At 39.7% G+C, this 22,536-nt stretch overlaps 2 long non-coding RNA genes across 3 annotated transcripts in view, besides 1 other annotated feature; one reads left to right on the forward strand and one right to left on the reverse strand.

Annotated features, from left to right (window-relative positions):
* LOC105377609 (uncharacterized) overlaps positions 1-20,059 on the reverse strand; it is a 38,280-nt gene extending 18,221 nt beyond the window's left edge. The window contains exons 1-3 of one of the 2 annotated variants that reach the window (XR_001741960.2): positions 19,983-20,059; positions 10,550-10,800; positions 8,619-8,807 (exon numbers count right to left, since the gene is read on the reverse strand). This is a non-coding gene — a long non-coding RNA (uncharacterized LOC105377609). Of the gene's footprint in view, positions 1-8,618; positions 8,808-10,549; positions 10,801-13,094; positions 13,160-19,982 lie in introns of those variants that run through there. The other variant, XR_939621.3, reaches the window with a different exon arrangement.
* Positions 1,274-2,473: an enhancer, noted in NCBI's record as "P300/CBP strongly-dependent group 1 enhancer chr4:189369247-189370446 (GRCh37/hg19 assembly coordinates)". NCBI's record gives its function as "activates an origin of replication core promoter dependent on BRD2, BRD4, P300/CBP, MED14 and CDK7 cofactors, with strong dependence on P300/CBP, by STARR-seq in HCT116 cells {active_cell/tissue: HCT116}" and the evidence as "EXISTENCE:reporter gene assay evidence [ECO:0000049][PMID:35650434]".
* Positions 8,759-22,536, forward strand: part of LINC01060 (long intergenic non-protein coding RNA 1060) — a 146,331-nt gene continuing 132,553 nt past the window's right edge. The window contains exons 1-2 of the long non-coding RNA NR_033869.1: positions 8,759-8,855; positions 9,845-9,943. This is a non-coding gene — a long non-coding RNA (long intergenic non-protein coding RNA 1060). The remainder of the gene's footprint in view (positions 8,856-9,844; positions 9,944-22,536) is intronic.

Below are 22,536 nucleotides of genomic sequence, written 5' to 3' on the forward strand. Positions count from 1 at the left end.
ATGGGGAGACGATAGGGAAAATCAGGGTCTCTGTGTAGTTATCTGTGTGACTCAGCATGGGGAGACGATAGGGAAAATCAGGGTCTCTGTGTAGTTATCTGTGTGACTCAGCATGGGGAGACGATAGGGAAAATCAGGGTCTCTGTGTAGTTAATCTCTGTGACTCAGCATGGGGAGACGATAGGGAAAATCAGGGTCTCTGTGTAGTTAATCTGTGTGACTCAGCATGGGGAGACGATAGGGAAAATCAGGGTCTCTGTGTAGTTAATCTCTGTGACTCAGCATGGGGAGACGATAGGGAAAATCAGGGTCTCTGTGTAGTTATCTGTGTGACTCAGCATGGGGAGACGATAGGGAAAATCAGGGTCTCTGTGTAGTTAATCTGTGTGACTCAGCATGGGGAGATGATAGGGAAAATCAGGGTCTCTGTGTAGTTAATCTGTGTGACTCAGCATGGGGAGACGATAGGGAAAATCAGGGTCTCTGTGTAGTTAATCTGTGTGACTCAGCATGGGGAGACGATAGGGAAAATCAGGGTCTCTGTGTAGTTATCTGTGTGACTCAGCATGGGGAGACGATAGGGAAAATCAGGGTCTCTGTGTAGTTATCTGTGTGACTCAGCATGGGGAGATGATAGGGAAAATCAGGGTCTCTGTGTAGTTAATCTCTGTGACTCAGCATGGGGAGACGATAGGGAAAATCAGGGTCTCTGTGTAGTTAATCTCTGTGACTCAGCATGGGGAGACGATAGGGAAAATCAGGGTCTCTGTGTAGTTAATCTGTGTGACTCAGCATGGGGAGACGATAGGGAAAATCAGGGTCTCTGTGTAGTTAATCTCTGTGACTCAGCATGGGGAGACGATAGGGAAAATCAGGGTCTCTGTGTAGTTATCTGTGTGACTCAGCATGGGGAGACGATAGGGAAAATCAGGGTCTCTGTGTAGTTATCTGTGTGACTCAGCATGGGGAGACGATAGGGAAAATCAGGGTCTCTGTGTAGTTATCTGTGTGACTCAGCATGGGGAGACGATAGGGAAAATCAGGGTCTCTGTGTAGTTATCTGTGTGACTCAGCATGGGGAGACGATAGGGAAAATCAGGGTCTCTGTGTAGTTATCTGTGTGACTCAGCATGGGGAGACGATAGGGAAAATCAGGGTCTCTGTGTAGTTAATCTGTGTGACTCAGCATGGGGAGACGATAGGGAAAATCAGGGTCTCTGTGTAGTTAATCTCTGTGACTCAGCATGGGGAGACGATAGGGAAAATCAGGGTCTCTGTGTAGTTATCTGTGTGACTCAGCATGGGGAGACGATAGGGAAAATCAGGGTCTCTGTGTAGTTATCTGTGTGACTCAGCATGGGGAGACGATAGGGAAAATCAGGGTCTCTGTGTAGTTATCTGTGTGACTCAGCATGGGGAGACGATAGGGAAAATCAGGGTCTCTGTGTAGTTAATCTCTGTGACTCAGCATGGGGAGATGATAGGGAAAATCAGGGTCTCTGTGTAGTTATCTGTGTGACTCAGCATGGGGAGACGATAGGGAAAATCAGGGTCTCTGTGTAGTTATCTGTGTGACTCAGCATGGGGAGACGATAGGGAAAATCAGGGTCTCTGTGTAGTTATCTGTGTGACTCAGCATGGGGAGACGATAGGGAAAATCAGGGTCTCTGTGTAGTTATCTGTGTGACTCAGCATGGGGAGACGATAGGGAAAATCAGGGTCTCTGTGTAGTTAATCTCTGTGACTCAGCATGGGGAGACGATAGGGAAAATCAGGGTCTCTGTGTAGTTATCTGTGTGACTCAGCATGGGGAGACGATAGGGAAAATCAGGGTCTCTGTGTAGTTAATCTCTGTGACTCAGCATGGGGAGACGATAGGGAAAATCAGGGTCTCTGTGTAGTTATCTGTGTGACTCAGCATGGGGAGACGATAGGGAAAATCAGGGTCTCTGTGTAGTTATCTGTGTGACTCAGCATGGTGAGACGATAGGGAAAATCAGGGTCTCTGTGTAGTTATCTGTGTGACTCAGCATGGGGAGACGATAGGGAAAATCAGGGTCTCTGTGTAGTTATCTGTGTGACTCAGCATGGGGAGACGATAGGGAAAATCAGGGTCTCTGTGTAGTTATCTGTGTGACTCAGCATGGGGAGACAATAGGGAAAATCAGGGTCTCTGTGTAGTTAATCTGTGTGACTCAGCATGGGGAGACGATAGGGAAAATCAGGGTCTCTGTGTAGTTAATCTGTGTGACTCAGCATGGGGAGACGATAGGGAAAATCAGTCTCTGTGTAGTTATCTGTGTGACTCAGCATGGGGAGACGATAGGGAAAATCAGGGTCTCTGTGCAGTTATCTGTGTGACTCAGCATACATGGGTACCGCATGGATAGAAAAGCATGATAAAGTTTGAAAAAGTATTTTTAAGTGTTGATGATGATGATGATTTTGAATGCAAACATACTTTGATTGTGATGATCTCTTCAATTATGATGTTGTACAAAACCAAAAAAATAAAAAACAAACTGATGTTCATCTTCAATTTGAGGTTAAGAAAACTCATTATATTCCCAGCATACCTTCTTGTTGATTGAATGATTGAAGAGTAATCAGCAAACAACCTAATTTCTAAATCCTTGACAGCCATAATGATAATGTGAATCTCACTTGGAGAAATTCTCATCCCAAATTGTGTTCCATTGCTTCATAGGAATGTACTGAATCCGTTTCAAAGATCAATGAAAATAATGGCATGCTCATATATTGGATTTAAACATCTTATATGATTGTGGTTATTGTGTTTTTTTTTTTTTTAATTTCTGAAAACAAACAAAAGGTCCTAGGAGAAAAGTAAACCTCCGTCTCCTGTCAAGTCCCTTCTCCCATACCTGCGTCTCTCATTGAAAGGGTAGTACAGAATTCAGGTTGGGACCAACCCGTGTAACCAGCAGTGATAACTAGTCGCTTTATTCCTGAAAACTCCAGGCTGTGATTACATAAGCACAGGTGAATGGGGAAAAGCAAAAGCCATGGAGGAAATCCACCTGCGCTTTCTTCCCCCTGCCAGCCCAGCTTTCACCCAGGACTGTTCTTCATGGGCTGCACGCCTCTTGCCACTGGTATTCTTAAGCAAGTGCTGGGAAGACTCGAAAGAAAAGTGTGAGAGGAGCAGCAGGCAGCGGGTTTGGGGAGGAATGAAAAGCAGAGATGGACAATCCTATGGTTTTGCCCCGAAAGAGGACAGAGACTTCACTTTACTGAGTCTGTACAAACATCTGGAATCAAAGCCAAGAGAATGACTGCGATCTAAGCCTTTCTCTAGGCCCCAAGTTTACAGCAGTTTATGCTCCTAGAAAGAGAATAATCACTGCATTTACCCAACTAAATATTTCTGTCTATTTCTCATGAAAAGTGAGGTTAAAGGTTAATGTAAGACCATTGCAGCCCATAAATTTAGGATGACTGTATAATCCTTCCAGCTTTGAAATTGTCATACCTTTTTTACTTATCCAAAATATTTCTAAAAACAACAGAAAGGTCTTGACAACCTTGATGACTTTATGGAATGTGAGATAAAGGGCGATATATATACACATCACATATACACACACACATATACGTATATATACACATATATATGTATATATGTGTGCATATATCTATACATATATGGTGTGTGTACATACATACACACCATATATACACACAGGATGTGTATGTGTGTGCGTATATATATATTACATCTATTTACATATATATATAACATTTCCTTTGATTCAATTTGCAGGCCTCAATCTTATTCTCAGAACTGATGTCACAACATCGTACAAAGCCCTCATAAGCATATTTGCCTTCCAAGGTAACTCACAGAATACATCTTCCATTTGTTATTCATATAGTCAGCTCTAGCTGCAATTGCCATTTACCAATTCCCATCTGTTAGAGGTTTTTCTTGTACCCGATGGCAGTTGAAGCAGATTGTGAATATAAAAGAAAATAGTTTCTTGGCACAGAAAAGGGATATTTGTTTTAATTGACAAGGTGTAACATTTATGAGATAAAAATGAATTTTAGACATCTCATTTATTTTTATGTCGGTCTCTTCAAGACAATTATTGGCTCTTAGGCATACATACAGAAACCTCAGGAAATTAGGGAAAAGACAGAAAAACAACTCTTGGGAAAGTCAATTCAAGCTGATCTTAAGGCTCCCAGGGAAATGGCAGGTTTGGAGGGTGGAGAGAATTCAGGTGACAGTGCCAATTCTTAGTGTCTTCTGTGCTACCATGATTATTTTAGAAAATAAAGGAGTGCTGATTTTTTAAAAAGCAATTTCCTCTGCTCAGCAATGATAAATAAATCATTTTGCTATAAATGAGTCTAGAGTCAATGCTTCAAATGAGAAAAAAAGCAATCCACTATTTCTCCTTAAGAATGATTATATATTTGATGAGTATCTTTCTTCTGATAATGATTTGTAAAATCTTATTTCTTGGTACTCCCATGAGTAGTAGAATATATTGAACAGTAAAATGTTAAACAGTTTTTGAGATGAAGGCACTGTTTCTATTCAACTTATCACAATTACTGAGGGTATCAGGTATGTACTGGATTGTCATAGCTTAAAGAGATACCAGGACGATGACAAAGGAAAGTTGAAGTTAGCTATTCTGATCAGTAGAAGGACACGCTTTTCCCCGCAAAGGAAATAAAAGTGTTAGTGTCGTTCTGTTGAGATAATTTTATCAAATAGAAAAAAGGAATAAAAGGAAAGTCATCTGTGCATTTGTAACCCAGCGATTCTCATTAAATCATTATACCATGCTAACAAGAGAAAAAAGCGTCTACAGGTGGTACTCCATTTTCAACTGGGAAAAGAGCAGGTCTAATTTGAAATAACCCAAGGCTAAGGGTGCTATAGGATGGAAGGGGAATTTTTAATCAACACTATGGGCACACATCAGGTGTCCCCGAGGGCCACGCTATGAGGAAGAACCTATGATATGTTCTATCTTCTTGTAACAGTGCTACCCTCTGGGAGACTACTTGCCCAGGGCTGGGAATTTATCTTTGGAGTTAGTTTAGGACTCAGGGTGAAAAGGAGGAGCAGTAGGAAGTGAGGCTATTGGAAAGCTTCTGTAAAAAGTGGCCCCTTCATTATTATTCCATATTCTGACTAAGCAGAGAAATGAACCTGTAGTTTCATCCATATTTTCAAAAGCAAAACTTCTTCTACTAAAATAACTTGCTACAAAAGGTATGTACTAGTTTGGGATTTTGTTTTTTTCTGTCAGTTTGATAAATGCTGTTTGGACTCTCATAATCCCCCTAATAATTGACTGGGGTCAGAGTATCTCTAGGGCGATGCTGCACATTTTAAAACCGCTTCACGGGGTGCTGGTATTCAGAGAATGCTCTTGAAGATCTGTTTCCCATTGACTTTTCAAATCCTGTTAATTGCTTATACAGTAAGCGTTAAAAGTCAGGCCTGGCAAAATCAAGGAAGCTGCAGGGAGCAGATGAAGTTTTCATGCGCAGGAGCACAGCTAGGATGAAACGAGAAGTAACTGCCGTGTCCAGTGTGGCCCAGGTGGAGAGCTGGGGGTGTGCCATGAGACTGTTAGGTCCAGAGGAAGTACGCTCGATTCGCTTGATCTCGGGGGTAACTGAAGAGATAGCAGCTCTCTCTAGAAGTCCTTTTCTGAAACTATTGAGACCTCTGACACTTCAAATCCTTAAACGCAGGAAAAACTACCAATTGATTAGAATGCCCTTGAGAAGATTGAAGTATGAGATGGTGTTGGACTAGTGGTCATTTGTTTCAATCTCAAGATTCTGTATTTCCTATTCTGAAATTTCTATTTATTATAAATCTTATAATCTTTAAAATTCTATTTTTCTAAGTCTGAGATGTGGTTGAATTTCAGTTTATAAGAAGAAATAAGGCATATGTGAATTCCCTTAACAAATCACACAGTTCAATTCCTGATAGTTGTTACCTAACGTTTATAATGTTTCTTTTTATCAAATGATCTTCAATATTCCCTGCCATGAAATGGAAGATTAGTGAATTTTTTACTAAATTATTTTGGCCTTAAAGTCTGTTCTGCCAAATTGAAATACTTGGACAGAACTAACTTTTGCTGTACAAAGTGGACAGTTAGCCATGGAGTGAGCTATTGAGAAGAAAGAATATTTTCTGAGCAGAAAACTCATTCTTCTTTTTCTAATAGCTGTATTAGGAGATTGAATTGGGGCCACTATGCTCTTTCTCTTGGGCAGGAAACATGTACTTTTTTTGCAGTCAGTAATGTTTTCATAGCTGTTATCTGACCCTTACACTGAGCAGAAGAGTTTCTGGGACAGTTTCTTTAAGTTTACAAATAATCAGCCATGTATAGGCTTAAAAAATAAATAAAGATTTCTCATCCATATGAATGAGTGGAGCAAATAAATTAGATGAGGGAAGCTGGATCACAATCTTGAGAGGAAACAAGAGGAAAATTCAGAAAACATTTCACCTATACCTGGTTCTGTTAATACCTTGCCACTACCATATTATGGATGCAGGCTGAATACATGTTTTCAGAGGTTAGCACTGCAGCCAAGCAAGCAAGCATACTGTTAATCTGATATATATAAGGACACACATAACTTACAATATAGTAAAGCAAATAGGCTTGAATGGCATTGCAGTTCACACACACTGCCATGGTGTTGCTATTCAACTTCTGAAACATAATTTTAGTTTTGTCCTCTTGCCTCCCTTGCCTTGCTATAGTGATTTAGCTTTAAAAATGCAAGCCTGCACCTGTCATTTCCCTGCTAAGCATCTCTATTGGCCCCCATGTCCTCAAGGATGCAGACCAAGTCCATTCCAGAACAGCTTCCATGCTCCAGTCCTACCCACCTCAGTAGCCCTATCACTCTTCTTACTTTCTGCTCCAACCACAATACAATTCTAGTGGTTGATCAAAATGTTTCTTTTTCTTTTTTTTTTTTTGAGAGGGAGTTTTGCTCTTGTTGCCCAGGCTGGAGTGCAATGGCGCCATCTCGGCTCACTGCAACCTCTGCCTCCTAGGTACAAGGGATTCTCCTGTCTCAGCCTCCCAAGTAGCTCAGATTACAGGCATGCACCACCACGCCCAGCTAATTTTTTTGTATTTAGTGGAGATGGGGTTTCACCATGTTAGTCAGGCTGGTTACGAACTCCTGACCTTAGGTGATCCACCCGCCTCAGCCTCCCAAAGTGCTGGGATTATAGGCATGTGCCACCTTGCCCGGCCTCAAAATGTGTCTTGATACAAAGATTTCCCCTACACTGTAATGTTCCTCTAATCCTCCCTCTCATAACAGCTACTTATCCCTCGGGTTTCATCTTAAACTTTACATTTAGGGAGAACCTTCCCCCACAGAGCAGACATATCAGGTCCCCTGTGTATTCTCTAATGGCAGTCTTGTATTTCTTTGTAACAAAAATTGAATTTATTTAACATATGACTTTCCTACCATTAAGTCTTTTACTTGAACGAGGGCAGGTATTCAGTAAATGTTTCTTGAATAAATAAATGCATGGTAGTTCTTTATCATTTATTATCATTGGTCTAGTCACAGACTCAGAAGCAGTTGGAGATACTAGTATGATTGAATTTCTCTATTTTTAGTTTCTTTCAAATACTTGCACACACACAGACACACACACACACACACACAGACACACACACACACACACACACACACAGCTTCCTTGCAGTTTCCCAGAAATACAATTCCAGAGCCACAGGTCCCTCATCTCACAACTTGTCCCCATGTTCTCATTTGTCCCTCTGATCTTACTTGTCAGCCCTTCCCAGCACCTGGGGATCGTGCATTGTGAAGCAGCACACTCAGGGGTTCCCTGCTCCGTGTTTCCCTCCCTAATGCCAAAGGGCCAGGAGCCATTGTGTCGCAGAGTAGGCTGCTTCACTTGTGCCTGAGGGAGGACAGACAATATGCTCATCAGGATTCAGGGAGGAGAGTGTGGACGCTCAGACAGAGGAGTGCTGTCTTTGTTTCTCGCTGCTATATCAGAATGCCACAGACTGGGTAATTTATAATAAACAGAAATTTGCTTCCTCACAGTTCTGAAGGCTGAGAAGGTCAGGATTTAGGGGCCAGCATCTGGTGAGGGGCTTCTCACTGCATTCTTCCACGGTGCCAGGTGGCAGTGCAAGAAAGCACATAAGACACACAGCAAGAGGAGGCTGAACTCACTTTTATAACAAACCCACTCACCCCATAATGAATTTACTCCTGTGTTCAACACATAAACTTTTGGAGACACATTCAAACCATAACATGTACTATTGAAATGGAGCTCTGACAGGAGACACCTTGGGTGCCTCAAGCTGGAGATTCTGCTTTGCATCCCCAGTTAATAATTAGTAGATAAAAGAAAGAGACTCTTTGGGCACTGGGACCTGGGGTCTATGAATGTTGAAAAGGAAGAGCAAACCATGACATCAGGACTTGAGTTTCTCACACCCCTTTCTCCCACCCCCACCCAGGCAAAAATAGATACAAAAGAAGAAGGAATTACAGAAGAAGTCACATAACATTATTGCCTACAACTGACTGTTTACCTTGAATACTTGAAGACCAGAATGAAGATTCTTGGGGTGAAGAATTACAGCCTTAGCATGGAGCAGGCCTCGGTGCATCGGCTTTCAGCTAGGCATGCCTGCCAATGTTCAACGTCCTCCTGGGATACGGAAGGCACCGTGATAGACATCTGGGCAAGTCAACAGGAAGGTGGATATCCAAATCTCTCTCTTCGCAATGAGTTTCCAGTTAGATGGAGGAGAGAGTAATAAAACACAGTAAGTGTGGAAAAGATTAAAATGCATGTTGTGATATACCACAGGAAATCAGAGGAGAGAGGTTCATTCTAAGGGGAATGGTGGAAACGTCAGTGAGAACATACCACCTGGGTGGTTCTTGTAAGATGATGTGGAAGAGAAAAGGTAAAGATTGAGCAAAACAGTGCATGAGCGAAGGATGCAATGTGAGATGGTCTGAACAGTTTAAAAGAATAACCTGGGCCAGGCACGGTGGCTCACTCCTGTAATCCCAGCACTTTGGGAAGCCAAGGCGGGTGGATCCCGAGGTCAGGAGTTCGAGACCATCCTGGCTAACACGGTGAAACCCCGTCTCTACTAAAAATACAAAAAATTAGCCGGGCGTGGTGGCGTGTGCTTGTAGTCCCAGCTACTTGGGAGGCTGAGGCAGGAGAATCGCTTGAACCTGGGAGGTGGAGGTTGCAGTGAGCCGAGATCGCGCCACTGCACTCCAGCCTGGGCGACAGAGACTGACTCCCTCTCAAAAGAAAAAAAAAAAAAAAGCATAAGCCGAGGGAATGAAAGTACTTTCTGTGGCTGGAGCACAGGATGTCTAGACAGAAGAATTTGGAAAGAAACAGAGGATACTAGATTTGGAACAGATCATTCAGGTCCTCAAGACCTTGAAAATAAGGCTACAGTTTTTAATATTATTATACTGCAGGCCATTGAAGATAATGCACTTGTTTTGTATTGTTTTTGTTTTTCAGAAGACAGAGTATTAACTTTTTTTTCAGGTTGTAGAATTCATCAATTCCATAACCATTTTTGAATGAGTATTACAGGTCAAGGACTTTTCTAAAAAGATGGATATGGTCTCTTCTGTCATGGGTCTTACATTCTGTGGGAGGAGACAAGCAATAACTACATACAATGAGCACAATAATTGAAGTGATTATGTGGGAATTAAAGGGGTGGGCTATTGACAACTTCAGACACCATGGTAATTAATGGCCTTCGATTTGTAACAGGAGCTGAGATTCCTGACTTCACAGATCCCTGAGGAGATGTTTACTAAAGGGAATCTTCTGGTCACTGTTACCTTCCTCCGTACTTACCTGCCTCATGGAGTAAGCATGACAAAATTCTTGATTACATAGGGAAAATCACATCTTCGATTAATACTTTCCTGTTTTTATTCTTCATTACTACTTGCATGATATTCACATAATCTTTTCTCTTCTCCTGCTTCCTCCGTGCAATAAGCTGCTCAGGCAGCCTTTGCTCTTAAGAGCTTGTTTGTATCTGAGAACGAGTTAAGGCTTTACACTGGTAGTAAGTTTAAGTCATGCCAAAAAGGGGTAGAATACCTGATTCTCCTAGTTTCAAGACAAGCCAGGTTTTTTTTGTTTGTTTGTTTTTTAAAAAAGCAGAAACTTTCATTGCTCTCTCTCATCTGAAACTAGATGAGGCTATCTACTCTGAGTGGCCAGGTCTTCTGTAATTTGTAACTGAAATGCAGGTTACTTGCTCACTGCACGTACAGTTCAGTTAACGAGGGAAATCTGATCCAAAATAAGTGAATTTATTCCGAAGTTAGCTTGGGGGAAGGGGCACAAAGCATCCCGCCTTTGAATGTGCCGCTTCTCCTCTGTTGCAAAAAGTGGGCATTTTCATAGGGTAAGGGAGGACATGAGCAAGGGCAGGGGTCCCACTGCTTCTGGTCAGTTACCTACCAGGCAGTTGAGTTGGCACCTTCCTGTGCAGAGTTCAGTTGTAAAAGTAGCCAAGTGGTCATGCTTTCGATGTGCTGTCCTGGTGCGTATGAGTTCCTAGGTCACCCCTGGAGGATGGCAGTTCCGAGGCACGCCCCTGGAGGTGAGAGTTCCATGGGGACATGCTTTGGTCTGTAAATCCACCGTCAGCTCTGGAGGAGAGACCTGTCTTGGAGCACGAAGTTAGAGGAACTTGCTGTGTAGGCAATGTCCTGTGAGGGAGAGGTGAGAGATTATATTTGCATTTCAGCAGAGCTAAGCAGAAAGCAGAGAGCCAGGGAAAGGAGAAAACAGAGTGAGAGGGAAAAATATAATTAAACCACCCGTAGAAAAATAGGGAGAACTGGGGGCCGGGGCGGTGGCTCACGCCTGTAATCCCAGCACTTCGGGAGGCCAAGGCCGACGGATCATGAGGTCAGGAGTTCGAGAGCAGGCTGGCCAACATGGTGAAACCCTGTCTCTACTAAAAATACAAAAATTAGCTGGGTGTGGCAGCAGGCGCCTGTAATCCCAACTACTCGGGAGGCTGAGGCAGGAGAATCGCTTGAACCCGGGAGGTGGAGGTTGCAGTGAGCTGAGATCGTGCCACTGTGCTCCAGCCTGGGCAACAAGAGCAAAACTCCATCTTAAAAAACAAAAGAAAAAAGAAAAAGAAAAATGGGGTACTTGGTTACATTTTAAGAACCTAAAAATCTAGAATTTCATGCAAAACTCATAATTTTCAAGTTGGTAATTAATTTTCAAATGTAAACATATTGTGGCTCGCAAAGAACAATAAGATCAATCAACCAATAAAGGCAAAAATAGAGAGTAAGGAAGAATCCACACTAAGAAGCGTGAAGACTTGATTAGAGACATAAGCCAAAGAAAGGAGATGTGTTCAGTGTTTACTGCCATGTGCCAAGCAGGGGCGGGTGAAGACAATGGCAATGTGAACAGCTAGGAGGAAGGCAATATCTGGTAAATTAGAGCCGATGACATATGAGTCCAAAGGAGAAAAGAGGACGCTGAACCCAAGCTTGATGATTGGGAGAATGGTGGTCCCGTGACTTGTCCCACCGAAGCCAAAGAAAGAACAGATCTAAGGGATGGTGATCTTTGAGCAAGCTCGTTTCCCTCACACGTTCCAGCGCTGTTTCACGCCAGGCTCTGGGATTGAATGATATCCCTGGATCAGGTTCACTGGCGTCCCCTGCTGGCACAGAGCAGCACAAAGACTTCGAAACTGGATACGCTGATAAATTTATGAAATCTCCACAAACTAGAGAACACGGGCTAGGTGCGGTGGCTCACACCTGTAATCCCAGCACTTTGGGAAGCCGAGGCGGGTGGATCACGAGGTCATGAGATCGAGACCAGCCTGGCCAACATAGTGAAACCCCATCTCTACTAAAAATACAAAAAATTAGCTGGGCATGGTGGCGGGCGCCTGTAGTCCCAGCTACTTGGGAGGCTGAGGCAGGAGAATCGCTTGAAGCCCGGAGGCGGAGCTTGCAGTGACCAGAGATCACTCCACTGCACTCCATCCTAGGCGACACGGTGAGACTCTGTCTCAAAAAAAAACAAACACAAAAACACTAGAGAACATGTTATTAAATAATAGAAAGAAAGAATGCCCATCTGATAAAGGTACAAAACTGACCTTAAAATGACTTAGCACTGGAAAGAAAAAAAAAAGAGGCTACAAATTTTTGGTTACTGAAGAGCCTTTTAAATAAGATTATATTAAAACAGTGGGTAGATCTCTCCAAAGCAGAATAAGAAAACCCCTAATCTTCCTCCTAACTAAATGATTATATGATTTGATGAGTGAGGATTAAGTTCTGCTTTTAAATATAATTGCTGGGTAATATGAATATAAACCAAATATGTAAAATTTAAGATACAAAGATCAATATTCCCAATTCTATAAAATTTGTGTCAACTAATTGTAGATAATAAAATATTTTATGTATTTTTTAGAAGAAGATAATAGGCATAACAACTATTGTGAAATTATCCAAATTTGTACTCTTAGTTGCCAATTTTCAGTTCTTTAGAAAGTGCAATTATTCTTAGCAGTGAGAAACATGAGTCTCACAGAATACATTTAAGTCTTCACTTTGATTTACAACCTCCAGTGTTAATTAAACAAATGCCAACTATGCTAATAGTCTGGAAATCCTTTGACAAATACTGAAAGAAATGACAGGTCTGGCACATACACATATAGATGGAGGCTTGCCTGATTTTTAAGAGGCGTTTTACAGATTTGGCCTTATAATACTTATTCTATAACTATTCATTTTATCCTGGAAAATGTTGTCTATAAAGTTTTGGAGAGAAATTGCTCTGTAGAACAAATTGACATTTCACAGGAATAAGTCCACTATTGCTAAGAAAAATGGTACTGGGGATGGAGCCCCAAAATGGCAGAGGCAAACACAGCCCTATCAACCTCTCCCATCCCCCTGTGTACACATTAGTATAGACTTAGTCTGTCTTTAGGAACAACATTTTTACTGACCTGCTTTCTAAGTTGTTGGTCCCTCCTCTTCCCTGGGATCTACATATCAGGGTAGTTTCATAATTCTCTGTTGTCTCAGTTACGTGTTAAAAGTAAGCATGTTCACTGAGTGATGATTTTACTTTTTAAACAACCTCATCTTTTACCGTACCATCAGTTATATTAAATATGACATTTAAGGTTTTAAAAGTGGAGTTAGAAAGCTACATACTGAGAGGTGAAGCCAGGCGGGCTTCTGACTCATGTGGGGACTTGGAGAACTTTTCTGTCTAGCTGGAGGATTATAAACGCACCAATCAGCACTCTGTGTCTAGCTAAAGGTTTGTAAATGCACCAATCAGCACTCTGTAAAAACGGACCAATCAGCACTCTGTAAAATGGACCAATCAGTGCTCTGTAAAATGGACCAATCACCGCTCTGTAAAATGGGCCAATCAGCAGGACGTGGGTGGGGCCAAATAAGGGAATAAAAGCTGGCCACCAGAGCCAACAGTAGCAACCGGTTTGGGTACCTTTCCCTATGAAAGCTTTCTTTCACTTTTCACAATAAGTCGTGGGTGCTTCTCACTCTTTGGGTCTGCACTACCTTTATGAGCTGTAACGTTCGTGGCGAGAGTCGGTGGCTTCATTCTTGAAGTCAGCCAGACCAAGAACCCACCAGAAGGAATAAATTCCAGACACAATACAATATGTTGGGTGAGCAGATCATGGCACTTATGTCAGGAAAGCTTGTGTTTAATCCTGGGTGTGCCATTTACTAAGTGTGTGATTAGTTGTATTATATATACATACACACACACGTATTTTTTGAGACAGAGTCTCGCTCTGGCACCCAGGCTGGAATGCTGTGGTGCAATCTCGGCTCACTGCAACCTCCGCCTCCCAGGTTCAAGCGATTCTCCTGCCTCAGCTTCCCGAGTAGCTGGGGCTGCAGGCATGAGCCACCATATCCAGCTTTTTTTTTTTTTTTTTTTTTTTTGGATTTTTAGTAGTGACAGGGTTTTGCCACATTGGCCAGGCTGGTCTCGAACTCCTGACCTCAGACGATCTGCCCACCTCAGCCTCCCAAAGTGCTGGGATTATAGCCATAGGCCACTGCACCCAGCCGTATCTTTTAATTTTAATACCCAAATGTATTATCAAGCTAATAAATTTGAATAAAAACAAAATAGTAAAGCTAATATAAATATTAAACTTTTTACACAAAGAATTGGTTCTTTAAAAAGGTTAGCAAAATTGAGAAATCTTTGCTAGAATGATTTAGGAAGAAAGAAGACTCAACTGAAAATCAGAAGTGAAAGAAGAGACATTACTACCAATTTTGCAGAAATAAAAAGGATTGTAAAAGAGTACTGTGAACAATTGTATACCAACAAACTGAACATCTTAGGTGAGATGGACAAATTCCTAGAAACACACAAATGGCCAAGATTGAATCACGAAGAATCAGAATATCTCAAGAGACTTACAGTAAGGAGATTAACTCTGTAATAACCCCCCAGCAAAGAAAAGCTAAGGGCTAGATGACTTCACTGGATAATTGTAGCAAACATTTAAAGAACAATTAAAACAAATCTTTCTCAAACTCTTAATAAAAAGCAAAGTGGAGGGAGTACTGCCAAACTCAATCTACGAGACCAGATTTACCCTGATACCAAAATCAGACAAGTATACTATGAGAAAAGAAAGTACAGACCAATATCCCTGATTAATACTGATGCAGAAATCCTCAAGAAAATACTAGCAATCAGAACTCACAAGACATTAAAAGAATTTTACATCATGGCAAAGTGGGCTTTAGTCCTAGAATGCAAGAATGGTAAATATATGAAAATCAAAGTAATGCCCTACATTCACAGAATGAAGGACAAAAACCATGTGATGATCTCAACTGATGCAGAAAGAAAAAATTTGACAAGATGCTCTATTACAAAACACTCAACAACTAGTAATAGAAGGAAACTTCGTCAACACAGTAAAGGCCAAATATAAACACCCAGAACTAACATCGTACTCAATGGTTAAAGACTGAATGGTCTCCCTCTAAGATCAAGAGGAGCAAGACAAGGATGCTCTCTTTCACCGTTTCTGTTCTACTTAGTGTTAGAAGTCCTACCTGGAGTAATTAGGTAAGAAAAAGCAATAAAAGTCATCCACATGAGAAAGGAAGAAGTAAATTTATATCTGTTCACAGATCACATAATCTTATGTGTAGAAAACCATAACTATTACATAAAAATGAATTCAGCAAAGTTGCAGAATTCAAAATCAACACACAAAAATCAATTGCATTTCTGTGTATTAATGATGAGCAACCCAAAGGAAATTAAGAAAACAATTCAATTTACAATAGCATTAAAAAGAATAAAACACTTAAGAACAAACTTAACCACTGAGGCAAAAGACTTGTACTCTGAAAACTATAAAAGAAATATATACATAAGTGGAAAGACATCGATATTCATGAATTAGAAGACTTATATTGTTAAGATAGTAGTGTTCCCCAAAATGATCTACAGATTCAATGCAATCCCTATCAAAATCTCGACCTTTTTTGCAGACATGGAAAAATTCATTGTTAAATTCAAATGGAAATTAAAGGAATCTATGATAGCCAAAATAATCTTGAAATAGAAAAACAAGGTTAGAGGTCTCGTACTTCATGATTTAAAAACTCACTGCAAAGCTACAGTAATCAAAACAGTGGTTATTGTCATAAAGACAAGAGTATAGACCAACAAAATGGAATAGAGAGCCTAGAAATAAACCTTCACATACATGGTCAAATGATTTCAACAAGGGTGCCAAGAATATTCAATAGGGAAAGGGCAGTCTTTTCAACCAGTGGTCCTGAGAAAACAAGATAACCACATGCAAAAGAGTTAAGTTGAACCATTACCATAGACTATATACAAAAAGTTAACTAAAAATGGATCAAAGACCTAACCCATAAGAGTTAAAACTATAAAACTCTTAAACAAAAATATAAGGGGAAAGCTTCATGTCACTGGATTTGGCATTGATTATTTGGATATGACAATAAAAGCATAGATAACGAAGAAAAATAAGTAAATTGGACTACACCAAAGTTAAAAACTTCTGTGCAAAACAGGCTATAATCAACAGAGTGAAAAGGCAACCCATAAAATGGGAAACATTTGCAAATAATATAACTGATTAGAGTTATTCAGAATATATAAAGAACTCTTACAACTCACACACACACACACACACACACGAAACCCAATTAAACCATTGACAAAAGCCTTGAATAGACATCTCTACAAAAAAGATACACACATAGCTAATAAGCACATGAAGAGATGCTTGATACCACTAATTGTTAGAGAAATGGAAGTCAAAACCCTGACTGGCAAAACACTGTGACACCACTTGATACCCATTAGGATTGCTACTATTAAAAAAAAATCAGAAAATAACAAGCATTGGCAAGGATGTGGATAAACTGGAAAACTTTTGCATTTTTGGTGGGAGATAAAATGGTGCAGCCACTATGGAAAACAGTATGGTGGTTACTCAAAAAATTAAAAATAGAATTACCATATGGTGCAGTGATTTCACTTCTGGGTATATATCAAAAATAATTAAAATGAAGCACTTGTACAGATATTTTTGCACTTATGTTCATAAGCAGCATTACTAACAATAGTCAAAAGGTGGAAGTAAGCCAAGTGTTCATTGCTGGCGGAATAAACAAACTATGACATTTACTTACAATAAAATATTTTTCAGCCTTAAAATGGAAGGAAATTCTGACACATGCTACAACTGTAGGTCATTATGTTGAGTGAAATAAGCCAGTCATAAAAGGATAAATACTGTATGATTCTGAAACAGACCGAATAGTCCCATTTTTTAAAAAAAATTTTGATGAACATAGAAATTGACCCCTTTGGTATTAAAGTTTGAAACTTATATTTGTTTTTTCTGAGTTCCTTCTTCAGGAAATGACCTTCAGGCCTCTCAAAAAAAAGTATTAAAGAACTGAAACTCACCCAGTTACCACATCCAGACAATGAGATGCCAGACCCCTCATTCATCATGATGGCTTCCTTGCCCCTCACTAGTTCCTGTTTCCTTACACATTGTTACATTCCTTCCCTGCTATATAAACTCCTAGTTGTAGTTGGTCAGAGAGATGGATTTGAGACTGAGTTCCTGTCTCCTCGGCTGCAGCACCCGATTAAAGCCTTCTTCCTTGGCAATACTCATTGTCTCAGTTCTTGGCTTTCTGTGCAGCCAGTAGAAGAACCTAGACTGAACTCCTGGTGTTTCACTAATCATCCCACTTACACAGTGTACTTAGAGTAGTCACATTCATAGAGACAGAAAATAGAATGGGGGTTGTCAGCAGCTGGTGGAAAGGCAATGGTGAGTTCTTGTTTAATGGTTAGAGTTTCAGTTTTACAAGATTGAAAGGGTTCTGGATATGGATATTGATGACGGTTGCACAACAATGTAATGATGTTCACTGAAGTGTACTTTTAGAAATGTTAGGATGATAATTTATATAACTTTTTTTTTTTTTTGAGATGGAGTCTCTGTCACCCAGGCTGGAGTGAAGTGGTGCCATCTTGGCTCACTGCAACCCCCACCTCCTGGGTCAAGAGATTCTCCTGCCTCAGCTTCCCAAGTAGCTAGGATTACAGGCTACCACCTGTGTGATTACGGGCCACCATGCCTGGCTAATTTTTGTATTTTTAGTTCGAGATGGGGTTTCACCATGTTGGCCAGGCTGATCTTGAACTCCTGACATCATGATCCACCCGCCTTGGCCTCCAAAGTGCTGGGATTACAGGCATGAGGCACTGCGCCTGGCTTATAACATTTTTTTTTTTTTTTTGAGACAGAGTCTCACTCTGTCGCCTAGACTGGAGTGCAGTGGTGCGATCTCAGCTCACTGCAACCTCTGCATCCCGGGTGCAAGTGATTCTCCTGCCTCAGCCTCCCAAGTAGCTGGGACTACAGGCACCTGCCACCACATCTGGCTAATTTTTGTATTTTTAGTAAAGGCGAGGTTTCATCATTTTGCCCAGGCTGTTCTCAAACTCCTGACCTCAGATAACTTATGTAACTTTTATATAGGTATATTTTATCACACTTAAAAATATTAACACATCTTAAGAAATTCAGCCAACCCAAATTGCTGAGATGGCATGGAGGTATGGAAAGAGCTTTTCAAGCTAGAAAGACCTAAGTTTGAAATGAGACCTAAGTTCTACTACGTTCTAATGCTATGACCTCAGAGATGTCATAGAGTCACGTTGACACTCAGCTTCCTCATATTATGCGATGACCACTTATAGAGGCATGATGAAGAGTAATTGAGATTATGTTATTTACAGTCTCTGGCACAGCCTGTGGCTCTCCACAGGTACACTGCAATGAATCTTCCTTTGCATTTTCCTCAGGTAATAGTAAGGTGTAATTGACTACAAATAGGTCTCTATGCTTTAAATGTAAATATTAATTTCACTTAGATGATCTAATTCAGTTTTTACAGCATGCTATGGTTTACACAATCCTTTATATAGTATTTTATTTTCCTAACTTTTGAGGTAAGCATTACGAATTATATTTTAACAATGGATGATCTGAATATAAAAGAGATTACAGGATTTGATTAAGATCATATATTGCTGTGATTCAACACCATATTTTCTTAATTCAATTTCATCGTTATTTATATGGTACAATTAGGAAAGGAAAAAGTAATCCAAGCCCTATATTAAACCATACCTGTTGCTGAGTGTCTTCAAAATCATTTTATTTTCCTTCCTAAGATAAAAAAAAAATGATAGAATCCTACGTGCTTGTCTGATGATTCGTAACTTGAAGTCAGGGATTAGATCTCCTCTGTTTCTTAGTTTTATTCTATAGCCCATGAATATATTAAGCATTCAATAGACATTTGTTGAATTAAAATGGTATAAACTATTGATCTGAAATACTGCATTTGAAGCTTGGTACTTCATGCATTTTGTTCATATCATTTATGTACTAAATTCAACTTTTTTTTTATTTTGCATCCTGATTGTGTTTTCATAAACATTTATTCTAATGCTAAAATTTAATATCAATAAATTATATCTTGGAGAAATAATTTAACAAACTCATATTTGCTTGGTGTGATTATCAAGACTGCAGAAACTTTGGCAATATAACATAATGGGGAAAAAATTGGACAGGAATCAGAACTAACCTTCATTATGGGTTCCTGGAATAGCTCCAATCTATTCAAGTACCCTGGAGCCAAACATTTAAATGCTCCCTGCCTGGATTTCTGCATTTCCCCAATGGAGATGATAATATTTATCTGGCCTACGTTGTAAGCTTCCTTTTTCTACACCATGATACTCAGTATGACATAGAGGTTCAAATCACTTACTATTTTCATAACCATAGGCAAACCTCTTCACACTTCCATCTGTAAAGCTGCCTAATAATAGTATCTGTGTTCTAGTTTATCATGAGGATTAAACGAGTGAATATTTATGAAGCGTGTAAAACAGTATTTGGCACATATGCAAATGTTGGTTAAATTTTATGTGCATAAGTGTGTGTGCGCACTTTGAAAAGTATAAAAATATATTTATAATATCAGGTCAATTAATATTTTTTCTCTCTAAATGCTACTCTAGTTATGTATATGCACTTCAAGTACTTGACTTTTAGTTTTCTCATCTGAAAAATTGCATTATCTTTTATTTAACTTATATTTTTGATCATTAAATGCTCTTAAGTACTCCATGCTCAGTAAGACAGATAAATGGAGAAATCTAGCATGAAGTTAGAAATTAAGAAGGCATATTGTTTCTATAAAAAAGAACAATTTTAACGAGGAAAGACAGAAAACAAGAAACATACCATTGAGGCCAACTGGTTTATAAGGTGTTGTTACTCAGTCCCAGATTTTAAGGTGCAATTCTCACATATGAATTTTCATAGAGGCCTTTGAAGAAGAGAACAAAGTCTATGAAAATGCAGCCAGTAAAAGATCCTCCCCTTCCTTGAACTACACCCAACCTGACTTCAGATGCAGGTTGCCTTTACTTGGGGACGTGTGTGGCCGAGAGGCAAGAGGGGTTTCCCTTGAGTAGAATAGAACTTAAAGAGCCAACAGCAGACTCCTCAGATGCTAGTAACTTGCCACCAGTAGCGTACACTGTGTCCAACACGCAGAGGCAGGTTTGAGTGGAATTCCCAGATAGCTTGTGATCAAAGACTGGTCGCCAGTGAAGAAGACTTGGGATGGATGGATGGATGGGTGGATGGATGGGTGGATAAATGGATGAATTTAACATTGAGGTATAATTTGCTTAACAGTAAAATGTTCAGTTTAATAAGTTTAGGCCAATTAATATTAATTTTGATTAATCTCAAATTGTCTTGCTATCGAGTGTTTTTTTAAGACAGCACCAAGTGTAAAGGAAAATCTTGAGATCATTATGCCAAAGACAAATTGACTCCATAAGATTAGTCCAAATTATCAAGTATATTCCATCATTTTGAATACTCATAAAACATATTTTGATTTTTATTATTTTAAGTGAATATTTGGTGATTTCAAATAAGCAAACCCAAATTCAAGAACTTTCACTGTGCAGAAATTTCCAAAGTCAAAACCAAATAGCGAGTGTGATAAGTTATACTCATTAGACAGCAATAGAGAGGCCCCCTGTAATGGAATATGGGGTGACTGTGAGGATGCTGAAGAAAAAATGGCCATGATTTTTTATCTAAAGGTGTGCTTAGTAAAGTAGGAATAGAAAATAAAGACAAATATGCAACTCCAGGAGTTATGAGAATGTATTCGGGACGTATTTTGAAAACAAACCCAACTGCTAAAATTGAGTCGACCCAGAAAAGAATTAAGCTGAGATATCTCTTAGTGATACTTTCACATCCAGATTTACGCTTAGATTCATGATGCATTACAACTAATAAAATTGTTTAAGTATGAGAAAGAGCAGACCAAGGGGCCATGAAGAAAATATAATTAAATGCAGATTAAAGGGGCAGGGCTTCTGGTTTGGCAGACACTTACACTTCAAAGACTGGAACATTCTCTTTAATAATACCTCAGTTATCTAATAAAAATGATCATTTGGAAATCATGCTGGTCACTTCTGTCTAGCTCAAGTGTCAATGTTCTGGATATACTGGGTACTTTATTCACACTGAATTGCTTTTATACATCGAGAAAGGTGTTAACTCTTACTCTTCTTAAAATGGACTGTGGTAATTAATTCTGATGCCTGGAAGCAAATAAGTAAATCTTTGAAATATTCATTTTATTTATACAGACTTAGATATCTACTTTTTAGGAAAATCACACTTAAATACCCCTTTCACTTTTGTACATATTTGACACAGTTTGGTATCAACTGTTACTCGGATTATATAGAAATATTTTGTTGCAATGAATTTATCCAATTTCCTTAAAGGAAGAAGCAACAATGGATTATTTCAAGGAGAACATTATGTAATAGTCCATGCTAATGAACTGTTAAAAAAATATTATTGACACAGGCATGTTAATAGCAGTGTGGGTTTTGGTAATCAGCTAACATAATTAGTCCAGAATTATATGGACTTTTTAAGTAATAAAATTTACTGGAAACTTAAATGTAATTAATTAAAAGTTTGGTTTAGTTATAAATATGATTAAAGCATTTTTCTCTAATTTTTTTTTTTTTTTTGAGACAGAGTCTCGCTCTGTCGCCCAGGCTGGAGTGCAGTGGCCCTATCTCAGCTCACTGCAAGCTCCGCCTCCCGGGTTCACGCCATGCTCCTGCCTCAGCCTCCTGAGTAGCTGGGACTACAGGCGCCCGCCACTATGCCCGGCTAATTTTTGGTATTTTTAGTAGAGACGGGGTTTCACCGTGTTAGCCAAGATGGTCTCGATCTTCTGACCTCGTGATCCGCCCACCTCGGCCTCCAAAAGTGCTGGGATTACAGGCGCGAGCTACCGCGCCCAGCCCATTTTTCTCTAATTTATACTTAAATTTGCATTATTATTTGCAAAACGTACCAAAATTTGGACATTTAAGCATCATTTATTCTGAAAAAAGTATAAGACATAGTAAATAACATACCAATATGGGACATGGGAGATAAAAATTGATCACCCAGTAGATAAAGGGAAAAGCTCTTTCAGAAAAAAAAAGTAAATTTAATTGGCATATAATCAGAATATGTATGAGCATTTTGGAGTTCTTGTTTTCTTGTTAACTAAGGTAGAATTTTACAGGTTTGTAGACCAAGGCTTCATCTCCATGAATGTGGCCCCATGATTAAGATGGCTTGGGGTCAGACAGACTCAGTCCTGCTGTTTGTTAGTTGTGTAACATCAGACATGCTCAAAGCCTCAACTTACTCATTTTGGGGAAATAATAATAATTATTAAGACTGGTGAGGG

This window comes from Homo sapiens, chromosome 4 (genome assembly GCF_000001405.40).
Source record: "Homo sapiens chromosome 4, GRCh38.p14 Primary Assembly".
In the NCBI taxonomy this organism is placed as follows: Eukaryota; Metazoa; Chordata; class Mammalia; order Primates; family Hominidae; genus Homo; species Homo sapiens.